The sequence below is a fragment of the Homo sapiens genome, chromosome 3 (genome assembly GCF_000001405.40).
Source record: "Homo sapiens chromosome 3, GRCh38.p14 Primary Assembly".
Taxonomy (NCBI): Eukaryota; Metazoa; Chordata; class Mammalia; order Primates; family Hominidae; genus Homo; species Homo sapiens.
Window position 1 is genome coordinate 97,576,502 of NC_000003.12, and position 19,919 is coordinate 97,596,420.

Sequence of the window (19,919 nt, forward strand, 5' to 3'; positions counted from 1 at the left end):
TGACAAGCTTGTATTTTGGGGGTTAGTGATTATTTTTTGTCCTTAAGTTGTCTCAAGGTTGTAGAACTTAAGTGAAAGAAGGATTCCATCCAGGCATGCCAGTTGTTTTTCTAAGTTCAAACCATACTATCTTTATTTAATCTATAGACTTTGTTTTACTGTTAAAAGATGAAAATTAAACCTCTTTCGTGTATAAAACTGTGACATTAAAATTAGATTAGAGATGACCCGTGGAATGTTTGCACTTATTAATCACAATTCAACCTTGAAAAAAGAAAAAGATTTCTATTACATAATGGTAGAATGTATAAGACAAAAAAAAATGAACTCAGTCACTCATCAGTTTTTAAGTGTGAAAGGTACAATGAACAAGATAACATGACATTTGCCTTTGTGGAAATTATAATAATGGTGAGGTTGTGATAGCAAAAGTGTGGGCTAATGTGGAAGCACATCTCAAAGGCACCCACATTGGTAGAAGGATGACAAGATTGAGGGGACTCTTTTGTTTTTCTTTTCCATTTATTTATTTAGAGACAAGATCTCACTGTGTCTCCCAGGCTGGAGTGCAGTGGTACAATCATGGCCTACTGCAGACTCTGGGCTCAAGCAATCCTCCTGCCTCAGCCTCCCAAAATGCTGGGACTACAGCTGAAAGCCACTGCATCCAGCCTGCTTTTTTCTTTTAAAACTCTTAAAATTTGATTGAAAGTGAAATTGTAAACGTAGAGTTGGAAGTTCTGGAACTGGAAAATAAAATTGCAAAGGAAGAAAAGAAAATTTGCATAAGACTTATCCAAAGTAAACAAATCTAAAGATATTGAGAGAAAAACAGAGAGAAATGTTTTCTACAGTAAAAATTTATTCACTATTGAAGATGAAATTTTCTTTTAATAGTGAAGGAACACAAGCCATTGATTTGTGAAACTTTCTTTCCTTCCTTTCTCTTTCTCTTTCTTTTCATCATACATCTAAGCATCAGGCATTGAGCTAAGCTTATGAATTAAAAAAAAAATCCCCTGTCTTGAGAGAGCTCACAAAAAATTGTTTCCAATTTTTATGCTCTTTAGTGTTATCTCCAGGGAGTTAGAGGCAGTGACTCTCCAGGACTCATTACCTATTAAGGCAATGCTCTTAACTGTCAAGGTACCTCATGACATAACCAGTTAAAATTTTTATCTCTAGCTATTCACTTCTAGATAATAGGAAAAGCAAAAATCAAGTACAAATTCTCTTAAAAGCAAATTAAGAAGTTGTATATAAATATCACTCTTAATCTTATCTTTTCCGGTTTTTTGTTTTTGTTTTTGTTTTTCTTGGTTTTTTTTGTAGTGGAAGAGAAGGAAGTAGAGTAATATTTGGGTCTTTGGAAGTTATGTTTCAATGTGACTTCATTTCTCATTCATTTTCTGATGCAGTGACAGACTGAGAACAATCCAGGCAGATGAGTGGCATCTGGGTTGGTGGATAGACTCAGAAATAATTGCCCAGATAGAGTAAGAAGAATAGGCTAGAACAGCCAAAATTACATCCATGAAGTCTGTTTCAAAATCTGAGTATGAGATAGAGTCATCAGAGGATATTGACACAGTTAATTTAGGGACCAGGAATGCTAAAAAAGGAAAAGCCAGACTATCAGCATAGAGTCAGATTCTGTTGTAAGTGACAGAAAACCCCAAATAAAAAGTAGAAAAATTATTCCTTTCACAAATAAGCAACATCCAGAGGTAAGCAATCAACAGCTAGTAGGATAGCTTCGTGAACCTCCGAGACCCAAGATCCTTCGACATACTGAACAGCTGTCTTCAGCACACTGTCCAGGATGGTTGTGTAAGTTGCATTTTTCAAGAAGGAGGAAGGGGCACATATAGTCCCATTTCCTCCTTTCAGGGATACTTCCTGGAAATTGCAAACACTACTTCCATTTCCACTCACTGATCACATAGCTTCATCTGGATGAGTAAGAAAGCTGGAAAAATATGGTCTTTATTCTGGCCAGCCATATGGCCCTTAACGACAGGGGTTTTGAAACTGGGATGAAAGAAACAGGTATGGAAAGGCCACTGTCAGTCTCTGCCACCATGAGCTCAGATCATGACTAGAGGTATAGGACTTTCCTCAATCATCAAGTATGAACTGAGGTTGTTCCTTTTGGAGGATACCTTGCCATGTACTTTGGGGGCTGATTTGGCCTTTTAAAAAGATTTTTTCAGACCGAAGATTTTCAAATAGTAGAGATTATTCTTACTTTTTTAACTAGATATGCATCATAAATTTAAAAAATTTCAGGGAACTAAAACTTCTGTTTCATTCAACTGAATTTTTATAACAGTCTTATACACTTATCTATTGTGTATGAATGTGTTAAAAATTTGGTCAGTCAATACTTTTAAATACAATCACACATACACACATGAATGCTTGCCCTTATGCAACCATTTTTCTTTGGTCTATCAATATATGCCATTAACCTAAAAATTAATCTCCTCTTCATTTTTATTTCATGTTTATTTCTCGACAAGCCTGTTCCACTATCCAGTATTTATGTTTGCCAGCAATTCTTTTCTATAAATACAGTTTGCTAGATTATAGCTAAATCTATACTTAAATACAAACTCTCTGGCACTTTCTCCAAACTCAAGGTTTGTGATTATAATTAAGCAATAATATTGTCACTTGCTTTTTTCTTTCTTGAAAGTACCTAATCTCCTTAGGTATCTGCCCCTTAGTGCTGTAAAGATGTGATTTGAAAAGTAAGTTTAAACCGTTCTTTCAATTAGGCTGCACTTATTTTTATATTCCCAGCCTTATACCCAGATTACCTGGAAGGTATATATACTCAGTTAAGACACATTCGATCTGAAATCTATATGACTTTGAGTATAAATGGGCACCTCTTAATGATTGAGATTGAGCCAACTGCTCATTCAGCTGAGGTGAATTAAGTCTTCTAGGGCACCAGTGTGCCATTTAGTAAATTACATCATCCAGCACACTAAATGTGCCTCGCATGGGTGAACAGCTTCCTTCCAGGGTGTACTTTCCTCCCCCTCATTCTCCATTGACCCTACCTTATTGATGTCATAGGGTGATTCATATGACTCAGTATTTACCCACAGCCTCAGACAATAAGACTGCACCATTATTTACACCACTGCAGAACACATGCGCCAGTATGTAAAGGGTAAACGAGAAAGTTATTTTGTTTGGATTTTTTGTAAGTCAAATATAAACAAAAGAGCATCACTATCCTCTAGATTCTGAAACTGTAAAATATACTGTCATATATTGCTTCTCGGCCTTTTGGCTAAGATCAAGTGTAAATTTACCATCATATAGTAAAATGGCTTAGCCCCTTAAAAATATCAATAAACAAGCATCTTTTAAAAAAAACTATTAACACAACAGTATGTACATAAAACAAGCCTATTTAAATAGCAGTAAAATTGAATATAATACTTTGAAAGCGATAAGTTTTTATTTTTCACTTGCAAATACAAATGTTCTTTTAATTTTAACTCAGTCCTATTCTCTTAGATATTAAAACTTTAGACATTTATTGGATCCTGTTTTGGAAACTAACATCTAGGGCATAAAGTAGTTTTTGTGGTGCCATAATTTGTTAAATAATACTTTGAAAGTGGCTGGGTGCCCAAAGAGTTCATGCAGAAATAAAATGCACTCAAACTGCTTCCAAATGTTTTCCTCTCCACATATATCACATCAGAAGCTGCTGTTTCTCTCACACTGTCACTATATCTAAGAAGCTATAATCATTCACCACCCCTAGTGGAACATTTTAGCAAACTACTCAAATTTACATCCAAGCCAATGTTTAAAATTAAATTAAAAGCATGTATGTTAAGTGAACCAATAATCTAATGATACAGGGGTCTGAAATTGCCTTGGAACTAGCTCTGAAGAATACATTAGGAGGGGCATTTTCAACAGTGAACAACACCTGCTTGCTTTTTATCCCTCACTTTTTCTCTTGACTCTCCTTCAATATTCTTATGGGACGGGATGTATTTGGGTCCTCATTTTGAACTCAGTTTAATGGCCTTTCAAGGATAGCCTGATGATAAACAGAGTTGAAAATGGTGGCACAGCAAGGGGCTGGAAGATGTGAATGGAGATATTATTCCAGGCAGTCTCAACATGCCCAGTTTTAATGTGACTAAACAGTCATAAAGTCAGGCTTCTTTGAGTCTGTTTCCGTTTTCTCCCTATTATCAGGAATGAGTGTTGTCTCATATCAGACTTGAGAATTAGGTGAATATACGCCTCAGTGGCATCCAGCTTACAAAAAGGAATAGCCTCACTAAAAGTTAGAAGTTACTTGAAACTGTATAATGCCTGCCTCTTTCAAACCCATTTCACACTTATGATCTTATTTGAAAATAGAGCCCAACACACTGTTATTACTTTGCTTCGAGGCCATAGTTGAGGTGAAATTGGCTGGCTCCTATACAGGAGAGTTAGGCCTGCAGAGAATGAATGCTAAGTCAGTCTCTCCCCTCATGGAATAGCATCCCTAGCTATGTGCCTCCCTTGTCTTTCATGCTCACATAAGCAGTCCAAATTGCTCCACCCTCAAGATCGTCTCTCTGTCTGTCTCTTAAATACATAAATGAGAAGGCACATATGCAACCCTGGGATAAATGTTGGGAAGGATATATGTGGCCCATGTCTGGCTGTTTGTATTATTCAGTGTTCACCAATCTGTCTGGGAGAGAAAGACTATATGAGATATCAAGAGGGACTTGACAGGTCAGAACATTTTTAGGACTCAAGTGATATTTTCACTATCTTGCATGAATGTTGTCATTTTACTTTTAGAAGTTTAAAGGAAGTTTAGAAGCAAAACATGGGTACATGTTGTAACTCCCATTTTTAAATGTTACCTTTACAATTAACCCCTATATGCAACATGCCATGCCAAGTTCTATTGCACGTATTAAAATGAGAAGCTTCTTCAAATAATTTATTGTAAGATACATGAAAAGAAATACCTATACTGCAAGTTAAAAATGTGATAATTTTACACATGATAGAGAGAAAAGAGCCACAGAGAAAGGTCTATTTTGTGCCAGGCACTTTATAAACACTATTTTGTATAATTGTCCTCATAACATCAAATTTCCCACACATTACCAAAATGAGAACTGAGGCTCGGGGAGTTTAAGTGACTTGCATAAGGTCATGCAGCAAGCTATGCACAGCAAAGTTTTGAAGCTGGATCCCTCTGGCTCCACACCTGTGCTCTTCCCATTGCAGCTTTGCTGCCTCCTGAGGGAGCACAGATGAGGGCAAGATGATTCCAGCAGCAGACAAATAAAAAGCCTCTTAGAAGAGGTGGCATTTGAGCAGCGTATTTAGAATGAGTCAGGCCAATATGGGGTATTCTTTCTTTGTGCTAGAAGGAGTGAACAACACATTCAAATAACAATGAATCTTCCTGTATGTTTGCAGGAAAATGTGAAGGATTCTGAAGCTGTTCTTTTTTATTTTTATTTTTATTTCATTTTATTTTTTTTTTGAGACAGAGTTTTGCTCTTGTTGCCCAGGCTGAGGCTGGAGTGCAATGGCCCAATCTCAGCTTACTGCAACCTCCACCTCCCAGGATCAAGCAATTCTCCTGCCTCAGCCTCCTGAATAGCTGGGATTGCAGGCATGTGCCACCACACCCGGATAATTTTGTATTTTCAGTAGAGATGGGGTTTCTCCATAGTGGTCAGGCAGGTCTCAAACCCCTGACCTGAGGTGATCTGCCCACCTCGGCTTCCCAAAGTGCTAGCATTGCAGGTGTGAGCCACCACGCCTGGCCATAAAGCCACTCTTATGTCTTGGTTTTATACTCACCGGTAGGGAGATTTTGGAATTTTTTAACTGAAGAGTGACATAATCTAAACTGGGAGGACTCGGGGAGGCATCCACTGAAGTGTTTACACCATGCACATTTGCAGGTAGAGACATGGAAGGAAATCCCATGTCTTACCTCATGCAAAAAATAGCTACCTGGAAAAGTGGACATATCTTGCCACCAACACCCTACCACCAGTACCATTGCATACATGTCATACATTTATCATATGAGAGTGGATATAAAGTCATATTAGGGCCTTGTTTAGTTTCATTTTCTTTGGCTGCTTTCAATTGTTTCAAGACTGATTGTGTTCCCTGATTATCTACAAAACCAATCAAGTAGTAATTATTAAATAGTAACATGGAAATTAACCAAATTATCCTGCCATCTCATCCACACCATATAGATGCCATTTTGACCTGAAAAAGCTGGTATCTTAGCCTTAAATGAAAAATGTTTGATATGTATTAAAACATTTGTTCGTAGATAGTGCTGCCAAGGATGTTATTGTATCTGTGAGTAAAACTAAATCCAGAACATTCTCTTTTAAACTTTGTTTATGAGAAAGCGACAATGTGATATAGGTGACAGCAAGACTCACACTAGCAATGAATGGCCAGTCTGGTCTATAGGCAGCTTTGGAAAACTACAAACAGGCAGATGCAGCCTGCCTCATGACCTCTTTATCTAGTGTGCTAAAAGTGCAGACCTCACTTTAATAATGTGACAGATATACCCACAGTTCATAAATATTAAATACATAGCACACTTTGGCTGCAGAGCTAAATAGATCTAGCTCTCATACATGTTGATAAATGCTGCTTAACAACGCCTTAGCTGACTCCTTGGCACCTGAGGTGTAAAATGGTTTTTTAGAAGAACATATAGTTGGCAGGGCGCGGTGGCTCATGCCTGTAATCCCAGCACTTTGGGAAGCCGAGGCGGGTGTATCACAAAGTCAGGAGATCGAGACCATCCTGGCTAACACGGTGAAACCCCGTCTCTACTAAAAATACAAAAAATTAGCTGAGCGTGGTGGTGGGCGCCTGTAGTCCCAGCTACTCTGGAGGCTGAGGCAGGAGAATGGTGTGAACCCGGGAGGCAGAGCTTGCAGTGAGCTGAGATCGTGCCACTGCACTCCAGCCTGGGTGACAGAGCAAGACTCTGTCTCAAAAAAAAAAAAAGAAAGAAATACTTTGGTGTAACTCTAACAAAATATGTACAAGAACTGTATGAGGAAAGCTACAAAACTCTGATGAAAGAAATCAAAGAACCAAATAAACAGAAAAATATTCCATGTTCATGGATAAGAAGACTCAATATTATTCAGATGTCACTTCTTCATAAGTTGATCAACAGATTCAATGCAATGTCAATCAAAATCCCAGCAAGTTACTTTGTGGATATCAACAAACTGACTAGAAAGTTTATAGAGAAAGTTTATAAAGAACATATAGTTTAAAAGTCTGACCTCAGGGAAAAAACAGCTAGGTAGGAATCTGCCAACCAAGGTAGCCTGTACGGTGGCTAATTGGAAGGACATGTTTTTTCAAGTTCACTCGACCCTTCCATCACTTCTTAGATAAAAGAACTTTAGAATTTTAAAAGTTTTGGAAATTTAGTCTGCCCCGATCCCTGAACACTGGGTCATCATAAGCATATAAAGTGGAAAGTTCTCAATTTCACTGAACATTAATAATTATATATATTTTTGATGCTATTTATACTATTTGAGTGTACATTGTTTTGAAAGTACTGACATTGAGAAAACTCAATCTGTTATTTTACAAAGTCAAACTACCTTTGTATTGTTCATATAAAGATGATTTTAATTCAACTCAATAAATATTACCTTGAGCTCCTACCATGCACAAGATCTGGGACTGAGCATGTCAAGGAGAATAAGACATACACAACTCATTCCTTATGCTTAAGAGTTCACAGCCTAGTGAGAAAGACGAATGTATAAGCTAAAAGTCACCAGCTGGCAGCCCACAGGCTAAAATCATCCAAGAGATGTATTTTATTTGATATCTGCAGTGTTTTTAAAAAACATTTGAGTTCATTGCTATTAGTCAGAGCTTTCACCTTTCAGTACAACAGAATCGCTTTGTCATCAACTGGATATAATCACTTATTGCACCCAATGGACCCTTCAAGGCATTTGAGTTTGGTACCATGAAATTGTAGACACACAAATATTGCCACTATGATTGACTTCTGCCTGTATTATAATACCTAAAATTATATGGAAGAACAGAGAAGAGAATAGCAAGTAAGTTCTCTCCAGCTATGTCAAGCACGTTTTGACATGGGAGATGATACCTGCCAAAACCAGAAGGGACTTCCAGACAGAGGAAAGATCATGAAGGCATGGAGACATGAAATGGTCTCCATGAAGGAGAAGGAGGAAAATATTTATCCCCATGTATTGAACATTTATTGCCAACCGCTAATAGGCAGTCCTCATGTGATTCATGATAAACCAATATGTTTATTATTAGCTCCACTTTTCAAATGAGAAAACTGAATGAAAGAGAAGATAAATAACTTATCCAAGATTAATCAGTTAGTGAATGGTAGAGTCAGAATTCAAAGTTCTGCCTGACCTCAAACCTAGACATTTTTATTACTAAACATGATGGACGTATTAGCAGATTGTAGATTTATTCAGGACACTTTTTCAGTAATTAAAAGTCCAAGTTCCACTGAATATAAGCAGAGGCAAAACCACTGGTCCCAGCCTCCACTTAGGGAAAATACATGCTTCATTCAGTGTAGCGAATGGAATAAAAATTATGTAAATAGACTTTTAGAGCTTAAAGGAAACTTAGGAAAGTTACAGTCCACGTTCAGCATTTTGCAGGTGAGAAAATTCAGGCATTTAAAATATTTGCTTTTAAAAAGTCGAAGAACTTCTATTTTAAATACAAATTAAAACCTACCTTTCAATATGTCTTAGTCTTAATCAACTCCAAAATATTTTAATTCTCCTTGCTAGTGCTATAGTTTTAAAATATAATTTACAGCAACCATAATTTTGTGATACGCGTTCTACAAGTCCAAAGTTTTAAAAATAACTCAGGGAAAAAATGAACATTTATTTGTAAAAGCACTAAAGAAATACCTCATAAAAATCTAGCCATGAAACTGCACTTTTTGCTTCAATACATTTATTGTGTCCTATTTAACAAGGGGATGAAATATCTATAGGATTCATATTACAGTTACCTGAAGGATTTTTTTAAGTTAAAAATAAAACAGTAATGGTCATATTATTTTTAATTGTATTTAGTGCTGAACACTGTGGGTTGGGGTTAGTGTGCAGGTAAAGAGGAAAATACTAATTTAGTTGTAGGGGCATGTCAAGTTACAAGAATTTAGATAATGGACAAAGTTATGTGATTGCATCTTTGGATTAGTTTAGTCAGACTCAGTCCCTGAAAATAATATTGTCATATCAAAAATTATTTGATTTTCTATTTTTGTATTAAAAATGTATGTCATAGGTTAAAAAATAGATGTGGCAATAAATATTTATGGAATAAATTAAGTCAGTGAATGGATAAAAGCATAAATTAGTAAGTTATTCATGAATAGTTATATTTTCCCATTCTAAGCCAAATTGAAAATTAGCTCCCTTCCAGCTATAGAAAGTTGCTCTTGGCCTAGGAAGCAATTGAGCAGGCAGAGTACTTCCTTAGATCCTAGCAAAATATTTGCTTAAGTAATTTGTCACTTTTCATTTGATCATTTTTGTATCCACTCACTCAACTTGCATTTATTGAAACCCAGATCTGTGCATCTTCTGGTCACATTAGAGGAGACCACAGCGAACTCCCAGCCATCCCACCTCATGCATCACAATGAGGCAGTAATAATCCTTTCTTTACCAAAGTAGGCAGAGCAGCGTAGTCTGCCCAAGACTGCATGTTTTCAGTTAAGGATACGCGAAATAAAGATCTCCATGGAGTAAAAGATGCATTTTTCCAATGCTTTACATTAAATGTTTCTTATTGTCATTGGTCTTCCTCACTGGTGACATAAACTTATTGAATCTCTAGCCTCATCCACCATCACAGAAAACAAAGAAGTATTTGCTCAAACAAAAGAGGTTTATGGTCTTACTTCTGTTAGTGAAGGAAATAATGTATAATGTTATAAATTACTATAACTAAAAAAAAAAGAGAGAGGCATGTAGGAAACAAAATATGAGTTACACAAGGAATGGAGGGAAATACACAGTCTGACAAAGTAAGGATAAATGAAATTAGATAGGAGACAGAAGATAGAAAGATGGTAGGTAGGTCAGTACTTAGATAGATGGATGGATAGATGATGGATGGATGGATGGATGGATAGACAGACAGACAGACAGACAGACAGATAAGGTTTGAAGTTTCAGGAATGAGCCTTCTTCAGGGAAAGTAGCCCTTGGCATTGCATTAGGTTCAATAGACTAGTTTATCTTTGCGCTTTGAAGTTATTCTTACTGTAGCTCAGAGGTACCAGAGTTCATCCAAAACCAGTAAGGGAATGGCTACTATGTGCCAGTTACAGAACTCAATACTGGATACTCAAGTATAAAGAAAGGGCAGGGTGTGGTGGCACATGCCTGCAATCCCAGCACTTTGGAAAGCCGAGGTGGGCGGATCACCTGAGGTCAGGAGTTGGAGACCAGCCTGGCCAACATAGTAAAACCCTGTCTCTACTAAAAATACAAAAATTAGCCGGACATGGCGGCGGGCACCTGTAATCCCAGCTACTCGGGAGGCTGAGGCAGGAGAATCGCTTGAACCCGGGAGGCAGAATGGCAGAATCCAGTGAGCCAAGATCACCCCTTAGCCTGGGCAACAGAATGAGACTCCGTCTCAAAAAAAAAAAAAGAAACTATCTTACTTCTGAATGCAGACACTCTATTCTCAGCTCTTCAAATTATTGTTCATGTTCCTATCATTAAATATTTTGGGCCCAAACTCTCCACTGTATAAATACTCATTTGTAAATCATATATATGTTCTGCCTTACTTATTATTGTTTTATGCTTATTATAAAACATACAAAATATAAAATAAGGACAAAATAAAAATATTTCAAAATAATATTCACTTTACATATTATTGGTACAAAATTTAACAATTTAGGTCTGACTGGAAGTTCATTTTATTTCAATATTTGATTTCACGTAATAATCACACTACAAACAGGCACAACATACATAAAATGCTACATATTTATGGCCAGGTTTGCTATGATATGGGTGGAATCTGTACTTTCAATAGTGCTCCTGGTGGTTTTTTGTGGCCTCCTCTTTTTAGATACCATCCTTATTTTCATAATGTGGTTGGTGAATAACACATTTTAGGAGTTGAAGAAATTGATTTTCCATATTCTATTTGCTTACTTGGGCCTTTATTATGAATTTTCTAATGAATATCCAAGGTTGGACACCACTATGTAAGAAACAACATGGTCTTCTAGGATCACTGTGTTGGGCCAGGTAAAATTAAAGCTTTGCCCTGATTGTTCAAGCCCTTGAAGTAAATTATTTACTTCATTCTTACTTTGGCATTTTTCTCACTGTTTTATTACTTAGATAAGTGATCACCAAAATTCTCTGATCACACACATCTAACAATAAAAATGTTTGAGCAAGTTTTACAGGGGATATTATCAGTATATTTTATTTATAATTTATTTGTATCAACTAGTATGATATTGTATATATTTATAAAAAAATAAACATAGCAATTACTAAAGGATGAGGAAAAGCATAAATATAAATGGAATTTTCAGTATTTTCTTTCTACCGCCCATCTTCCATGCACTCTGTTGGTATACCCCCCTGCCCAATTTTGGAAAACACTAGTATGAAGTAAACTTATTACTGAACAAGGTGTAACAGAAGAGGACCAAACACAGTAACAAGTAATCTTCCTGCACCACGTCAAACACATATGTGTGCATGTATTTCAAATTTCCAATTCTAAATTTTCTGTCTTTTATTAAGTCAGTGTATCTATTGTCTACTTATAGATCTTAATGTGTATTTGCAAAAATGCAACCTAATGAAAACAATTTGAAGAAGTCATATCTCATTTATATTACAGAGATATTATCCTTACTATTAAACTTTTTGCCATCAAAAGTAAATTATTAACATGTCATCTTCAAAGAAGGGAATCTTTTCTATGAGGAGTTTGTATATGTATGTGGGGGAATCTGCATTAGGAAATTTTATCAATTTATTTCAATTTTATGCTTAAAGGCTTATTTTTAAAGAAACACTAAGACTGCTAAATAATAGCAATGGTTTATATTTATAATCATTTGCTACATTTAATTCTCATGAACAGCCCACTAGAGTCAGTTATAATTTTCAATTTACAGATGATGAAATTGAAGCACAGTTTAAGCTCATTGTTAGTCTGTTATCTTTTACACAAATGTTTTTTGACAATTTGCCTTCAGAGCTGATTTGTTAAGCACATGTGAAAATTTCTTTCCTTTTTTATAATTTCAACTTTTATTTTAGATTAAGGAATACATGTGCGGGTTTGTTACATATGCAAATGTTTAATGATCCTTAATTTACAACATAGAGATATTTAAGGGAGATTGCTACAATATCAAATTTAAAAAGATATTTTGTTTCCCAGAGTTTAAGTCAAGCTTGTCCAACCTGTGGCCTGGGAGCCTCATGTGGCCCAGGATGGCTTTGAATGTGACCCAACACAAGTTCCTAAAGTTTCTTAAAATATTATGAGGTTGTATTGCGATTTTTTCTTTTCTTCTCTTTTTTTTTTTTAGCTCATGATCTCTCGTTAGTGTTAGTGTATTTTATGTGTGGCCCAAGACAATTCTTCTTCTAATGTGCCCCATAGTAGCCAAAAGATTGGACACCCCTTGTTACGGATTAAATATATATTTTTTAGGATGATTTGAAAACTGATTATGCTGTAGGGGCCAGTTTACTGTAATCAGAATGCTTCCTCAGTTGATCAAGCCAGAAGGAAGCATGCAGGCCATGTCAGCTTCTGCTTTTTTCCCACTGTCTCGTTACATGACCTATTAACTAGCAACTTTTTAAGATAATAATAATAATAATTCTTTACTAACGTACAGTATTTCTCAGTGGGTACTACTAGCATTTTGAGAAATAATTTTTTTTCAGAGATTATACAACTTATTTCAACAACTTTAGTCTTCCACTCACTAAATACTAGGAATGCCTTTCCTCAGTCCTAATTTGCGACTCTCCCTACTGGGAAAGTTATCATGAAAGTGGAGAACCACTGCACTAAGGAGAGAATCGAAATCAGAGTTTTAGAATATTGTATGTGAAATGACACATTTTGTATCTTGAACTTGTAACGGCTAGAGGAATACTCTTATTACATATAAAATCTAATTTATATTAACAAATACTCCACGGAATGTAACTAAAAACAAAATATTCGTGGAAGCAGATATTGCTCCTGCTACACATTTTAGATTTCATTTACTTTTTAGCTACAATATCATTGAATAATAAATTCCACAATTAATTGAAAGAAAACAGACAGACAGAGTTAGCAACTTAAGCAATTGGGAAAGCCAGACTAAAACTAATTTATATCAAACCCCAAAACTTAACACCTAGTGGATGAAGAAACAAGGAAATTATAACAAAGAATTGCTGTTTCTCCTGAATAAATTGTGAAAGCTTACTTTAGTGTTTCATGCAATCTCTGTTGATATAACTGACCTTAAGGAGAAAAATGATAAGGCATTACTATCACGTAATATCTCACCTGAATATATATTCATGTACACCAGTCCTTCTATTTTGTTTGTCTGTTTTTTCAGCTGTGAAAAATGACAGTTCCTTAAGGAAGAGATGCCACAATAGATGAAAGACCTTTTTACCCATGGTAAAGAAACATAGCAGAGACATTATGAATGATGCAGGAAGCTTAGGAAAATGAAAGCTGCTATTAACTATGACAGGCTGTCACAACAACAAAAACAGTAATCAATGCAATCATAGCAATAAGATAATATTTGTATTAGTTTCTTTCAAAAAGTTAAAATAATGGGTATCTTTTATGAGTTGACAGTTTGGATAATGTTGGCAAAAACAGGAAAAACTCAGATAAAAATCTCAATGTGTAACATATTAACATTATCTAGAGTCACTACTTTACATATTTTTGTTTTTCTTCAAATTGCCTTTAATTTCATTTATATCATTTTTTCTTTGCTCTTCATGACTATGTTATTATGTTTCTTTATGATCTAATATTCTTGAACTGAGTTTCCTATTACTTGGCTTCAATAAATCCATAATCAGCTAAAATTGCATTATTTTAGCTTTTCACAGCATATAATAAAATCTGCATTTGTTGTCATTATTTTCCCTATTGTAACAATATCATTACTCTTGCAACTTTAAGTAAGACTGCTGTATAAATATATGATCACCCCACTTGGTATTCAATGATGCACCTTCATTACAAGTGTTATCTCAGAAAATGATGAAACATTGCAATGTGGAAAATGCCTTGTGTGGGAAACATTGCACACAGACACATATTAACTTTGTGTTCAATGATAGATATTCCATGCATTCACAAGGAAGTTTGTTGCACTACTCCTTGTAAGTTACCTCGGAGTACTTTCTGACTTACCACTTGGCATTCTTGCCCTGTCTCTTAATGTTTAAGGGACTCCAGCTCTTCATGACAGAACCCTACACTAAGGCCCCATAAAATCAACAACAAAACTAGTTTATTCACTGTATTTAATTTTTTTTCTAAGCTTTCTTTAATCCAGTGCACACTGTATTGGCCTCACCTGTTAAAATACACATTGTAACTTTGCTCTTTCATGAAAACATTTCTAAAGATCTGAGAGATGTGAACTTTTCTTTACCAATAACGTTCTCCATGGAAACAAGATATATATAGTGTGCCCAGTTCCTTTAATTCTGACCCAAGTTCAAAGAAGCCTCAAATTTTAACTTATTTTTGGTGGAGAATTTGTGTCAAGATACAAAGTGAGGTCTCTTCGCAAACACAGAACTTGCTAAATCTGAGCATGAAAGGAAAGACCCCAGGATTCAAAATGTGAAGCTATGCAGCCTGAGGCATTTCAGAGTGGCTGAACGAAATACAGTCCTTACAATCATCAGTGTAACTTGTTTTGTTTTGTTTTGTTGGTGGGTGGGGGAGGGTTCTAGTGCAATTTTTGCCTTTGATTGGCCGTATCAGTTACCAGTGATGCCCATTCACTAATACTGCAAGTGTATTAAATTTTCATCTGAGTGAGTTTAGGATCTTAAAGTTATTAAGACACCAAATTATGATGTTACTATTCCAAAGTGCAGAGTTTCTAACTCATATTCAGAGGATAGCAATCTCCCAAATAAGAATGTATTCGTGATTTATTTTTATTCTAGTGTGGGAAGAGTTTGTCCTGGTAGTCTACCAACCACGTGGCAGTGACTCCCCTCCTTAGGTCTCAGTTTGTTGGTCTAAAATGAGTGGTTTTAACTAGATGATCTCTACACTGTTATTTCGTTCTGACACTCTTTTATTCTATGATTCATTATATAATTTTATGGATAAATTTCCAAGCCACTTACTTTTTCTTTACAATATCCTTCTTAAAAATGAAAAAGCATGTGGTTTTACCTTTGCAAACTCTCATGTCTTGTCCCTAATGGAAAAGTATAACAAATTAATAATTGTGTACATCAATTTTCTTGTCCCTGTTGCAAAAATATGTAATTACTGCATGATGTAAAAGTTTTCCTTATTTTAAGCACTAATAGAGATAGACCTAAAGTAAAGTACTGCTCCTGTTGTTATAGCATATATCAGATCTTATCGTGGCTATTTTCTGCATGCCTGTAACTCATGTAGGCATGAATTCTGCAAATAAACAACATCAATGACTAGCATTTATATCCATTTTATTATTCCATGCACAGCTTTATGTTCTAAATGTAGGTTTGGAAATTGTATCTAGCACTCTGATGCTTCTAACCCTCTTTAATTGTAACTAGTTGAGTAGCTTTCTTTTCAAGAAACTAAGTTGATTTTATAAATTTATGGAGTAAAAAATGCATTCCATCCCTTTAATTTTATAACTTCTTCGTAAAATTTGATGTCTTTGTTGATTTTAGGTTTTATTCCATGTAAATGATCAATGCTTTTCCATAAAGAAGACTTTGATTAATGTCAATTTTTATCTCTTAAAAGGATCCTTCCCGGCCATTGGGGTGGAGGCGTTTTGCCCCAGCTTCCTGAGGGCAGGGTTTTTAAATAGCATCCAGGCCCCGCATCCAGTGCCAGGGGGAGGATCTTTGCCCCCCAGGATTCCTGCTGGTAGGTATTTCAGGTGAAGTTTTCTGCCACCATATACAGCAGTAGGATTGTGCTCATAGTTGATAGGCCCCAAATACAAAATGAATATTGCTTAAATATATTGTGGAAAAGAAATGTAAGTGACTGCTTAAATTCAGAAACCATATTTATAATACTGAATGCTGTCAAAATGGCACAAAGGAAGTGAAAGGACTCTGCGCACCTAATTCGCATAGTGCTGCCTCCTCTCCTGAGAAAATTTTTACTTAAGTAAGAATTAGAGCTTCAGATCCAAAATATGTAACTCAAGAATAAACAAAGATGGACTTCAGACACTTTGCCACTTGGAATTGGCCAGAAAAGTGAATTAAAAACTAAGTGTTCTTGGCAGAAAGAGTAATTTCATAGAGTTGATAGAGAATTAAAGTATCCTTTCATTACAGAAAAAAAAATGATTTGAAGAAACCAGAAAGTAGCAACCTGAAAGACATATTTTAGAATAAAAATTAATATGCATTTTTCCCTAAAAATGCCAATCTGACCAAAGCCATATTTTATTGAGAGAAACAAAATATAGGATATTGAACATTTAAAAATGCAATTTCAAATTTACTAAAACACTTTGCAGGTTATCCATGGCATGATTGTAATTACAATTTGTTTCTTCCCTGACATTTAGTAAAATATCCAGCTGCCTTCCTTCATTGTACCTAAAGGATGCAATCTTACTTTACATTTTATATGTGTCTTAGCAAAACAGAATTCAAATATTGATTCTTGGAGTTTTGAAATCATAATTCTTGTGATTTTTATTATAACTAATAATAATGCTAAAAAATTATTGTTATGACATCAATGTATTCAGGAGAGCTGGCCCAGCCTGCAATGTAATGGGAACACTTCAAAAGACTGGGAAATCCAATAAAAACAAAAATCCCAGCAATGTACATTTCTTGTCCTTGTTAGCATAATTATACCAACAAATCTTAAGACTATTCTACACTGATATTTTTCCTTTGCTTTTCAATTACTCTTTTCTACTTAATTGAAACATATAAATATGCTTTGAAGTCATTTAGCTTCATCACTGGATAATTTATTGATGTGGTTAGATACTTTGTGGCCAAGAATACCACTGAAAGAGCAGAAACCAAAATTACACGAGTTAAAAGATTGTAAATTTTCACTTTATTGGGTGTTATATAGCCCTTTTTCTCCTTAGAGAAAGAAATGATACCAATTGTACAGAAATTTTGTTGTTGATGATGTTGTTGCAAAGGATTAGAAAGAAAAACTATATAAGCCAAGCTCTCCGAGTTAACTGCAAATATAAACATGTAGCTTTCATGTATAATTAATATCCCAGTGATTGGAATTTAGAAGATGAGCAGATTGTGTAGAGTTTAATGGCCTCACCCTTAACTCTTAATGACAAATCTTGGTCAAGTCAGATATGTTTGGCAGAAATAACATTATGAAGTTTAAGACTGACTTGAATTATTCAACATCACTGTTAGAAAACAAAAAACCTTTGTCATTTAGCTACTGAGAATGACAGAAGGAAGATGATTGTTCTATAACACATACAGAAACAACTTTCCAGAGAGGGATCTAAAAGAACATTCTAGCACTCTATTCTTCTAGGCTTTAAGCCAAATTTGCCTCAAGCTTTCATAGGAGAGAAAACTCAGTTCAGTTTTCATGACTTACATACAAATCAGGTGTAAAAAAATTGCTTCTTAAAAAATGTATAGATCTAAACTTGTCCCTGTTTCCACAAACTGAAATTAACTCAACACACTTTTCCTGGCTTATATCATTTTGATAAGTCATCTCTGTACATTTTGTGTGATACTTTTTGGTAATGACTGCTACTATTTCAAAGAATTTTTTTATCCTTTCTTGTTCAACTATAGCTTATTTCCCAAGATTTTTTTTATATTTTGTGTAAAGAGGAATGAAGCAGTAATCATGAGAAGTTTTTATTATTTTATATTTTTTAAAAAAACTAAAGTATTTCTTTGCCATCTAATAGCTGAATTAATACCCTTCAGATTTCAGACATCAATTTGAGGGCAGCAAGTGTTTTCTCCCATGGCCCATACTATGACACTTTAAACACTCAGCTGAAGGTTGATGCCCACTGGGCAGCAGTAAACTCACTTTCTGCCAATTGATTATCGGTCACAGTATTTTAAGGGTCACATAAGACATTTTCTGTATCAGTCAAGAAATTTAAAAACCTGTTCTATTGCTAATTTAGTTCTCAATTACTTATCATAATCAAATTTAAAAGAGATACGTGACTATGTCTTATATATAATAGTTTGTGCTTCACGTCACACTGTGCTATTAAAAAGCAGTATTTCTATAGTACTTACTTTTACAGTAACTATCATAATCACAGATTCATTGAATCATGAGACCTAGAAAGCAGACAAGCCTGAAATTAGTATTTATGCAACAGTTGTCAACTGTTTATGTTTCTCATTTCTAAAAAGGTCATAGTAAAGGGTTATTATTCTTAGTTTCAGATGGAGAAAAACACCAGGAAGTATTAGCTGAAAATTGAATAGCAAGTTTATCAATACGATTAACAGAATGCATTTGTGTAGTAGTCACCGATACAGGAAGAAATCACAGAAGGCCAGGCGCGGTGGCTCAGGCCTGTAATCCCAGCACTTTGGGAGGCCAAGGCAGGTAGATCACCTGAGGTCAGGAGTTAGAGACCAGCCTGGCCAACATGGTGAGTCGCCATCTCTACTAAAAATACAAAAAATTAGCTGGGCATGGTGGCGGGCACCTGTAATCTCAGCTACTTGGGAGGCTGAGGCAGAGGAATTGCTTTATCCCGGTACGTGGAAGTTGCAGTGAGCCGAGATGGTGCCACTGCACTCCAGCCTGGGCAATAAAAGCGAAACTTCATCTCAAAAAAGAAAAAAAAGGAAATCACAGGAGAGAAGAGGAGAGGAGAGGAGAGGAGAGGAAGCGAAGGAGAAAAGAGAGGGGAGAATAAACGAAATAAGAGAATGGGGAAGGAGAAGAGAAATTAGAAATGACGTAACTCTAAAATTTTATTTTTTAAAGGAAAGTCTTCCTCCACTATATTTATTACTGTTTAAATCAAATTCTACCACCTTGAAAAGAATGTGTCCCTCTTTTAAATATGTTATCAGACATATTCTCTTTTTTTTTTTTTTTTTTTTTGAGACGGAGTCTCTCTCTGTCGCCCAGGCTGGAGTGCAGTGGCACGATCTCGGCTCACTGCAAGCTTCGCCTCCCGGGTTCACGCCATTCTCCTGCCTCAGCCTCACGAGTAGCTGGGACTACAGGCGCCCGCCACCGCTCCCGGCTAATTTTTTGTATTTTTAGTAGAGGCGGGGTTTCACTGTGTTAGCCAGGATGGTCTCGATCTACTGACCTCATGATCCGCCCGCCTCTGCCTCCCAAAGTGCTGGGATTACAGGCGTGAGCCACCGCGCCCGGCCATATCAGACATAGTCTCTAAAATAATAAGCTTGCTCTCTTTGCTCCATGTAGTTATTTCTTTAACTTAATTATGTTGTCAAACAGTATTTGAAAGTGGTTTAGAATTTTTTATATGCCATAGAGTATTGAGTATACATAGTCTTAGACTAGTGGATCACATTATGACAGATTTCACCTCTACTCAAATCCTCTATATTTTTGGCAGTTTGATGTTT

At 35.7% G+C, this 19,919-nt stretch overlaps 1 protein-coding gene across 16 annotated transcripts in view; it reads left to right on the top strand.

Moving 5' to 3' along the window:
* Nucleotides 1-19,919, top strand: part of EPHA6 (EPH receptor A6) — a 946,939-nt gene that overhangs the window by 761,908 nt on the left and 165,112 nt on the right. For 14 of the 16 annotated variants that reach the window (XR_001740110.2, XM_017006211.2, XM_006713592.4 and 11 more), the window contains one exon: nt 16,111-16,236. The exons of the other annotated variants lie outside the window; for them this stretch is intronic. Coding sequence is in view for 13 of the 14 variants with exons in the window: in XM_017006211.2 (XP_016861700.1) it covers nt 16,111-16,236 (126 nt within the window). In the remaining variant the exon portion in view is untranslated. The remainder of the gene's footprint in view (nt 1-16,110; nt 16,237-19,919) is intronic. 16 annotated transcript variants of the gene reach the window in all.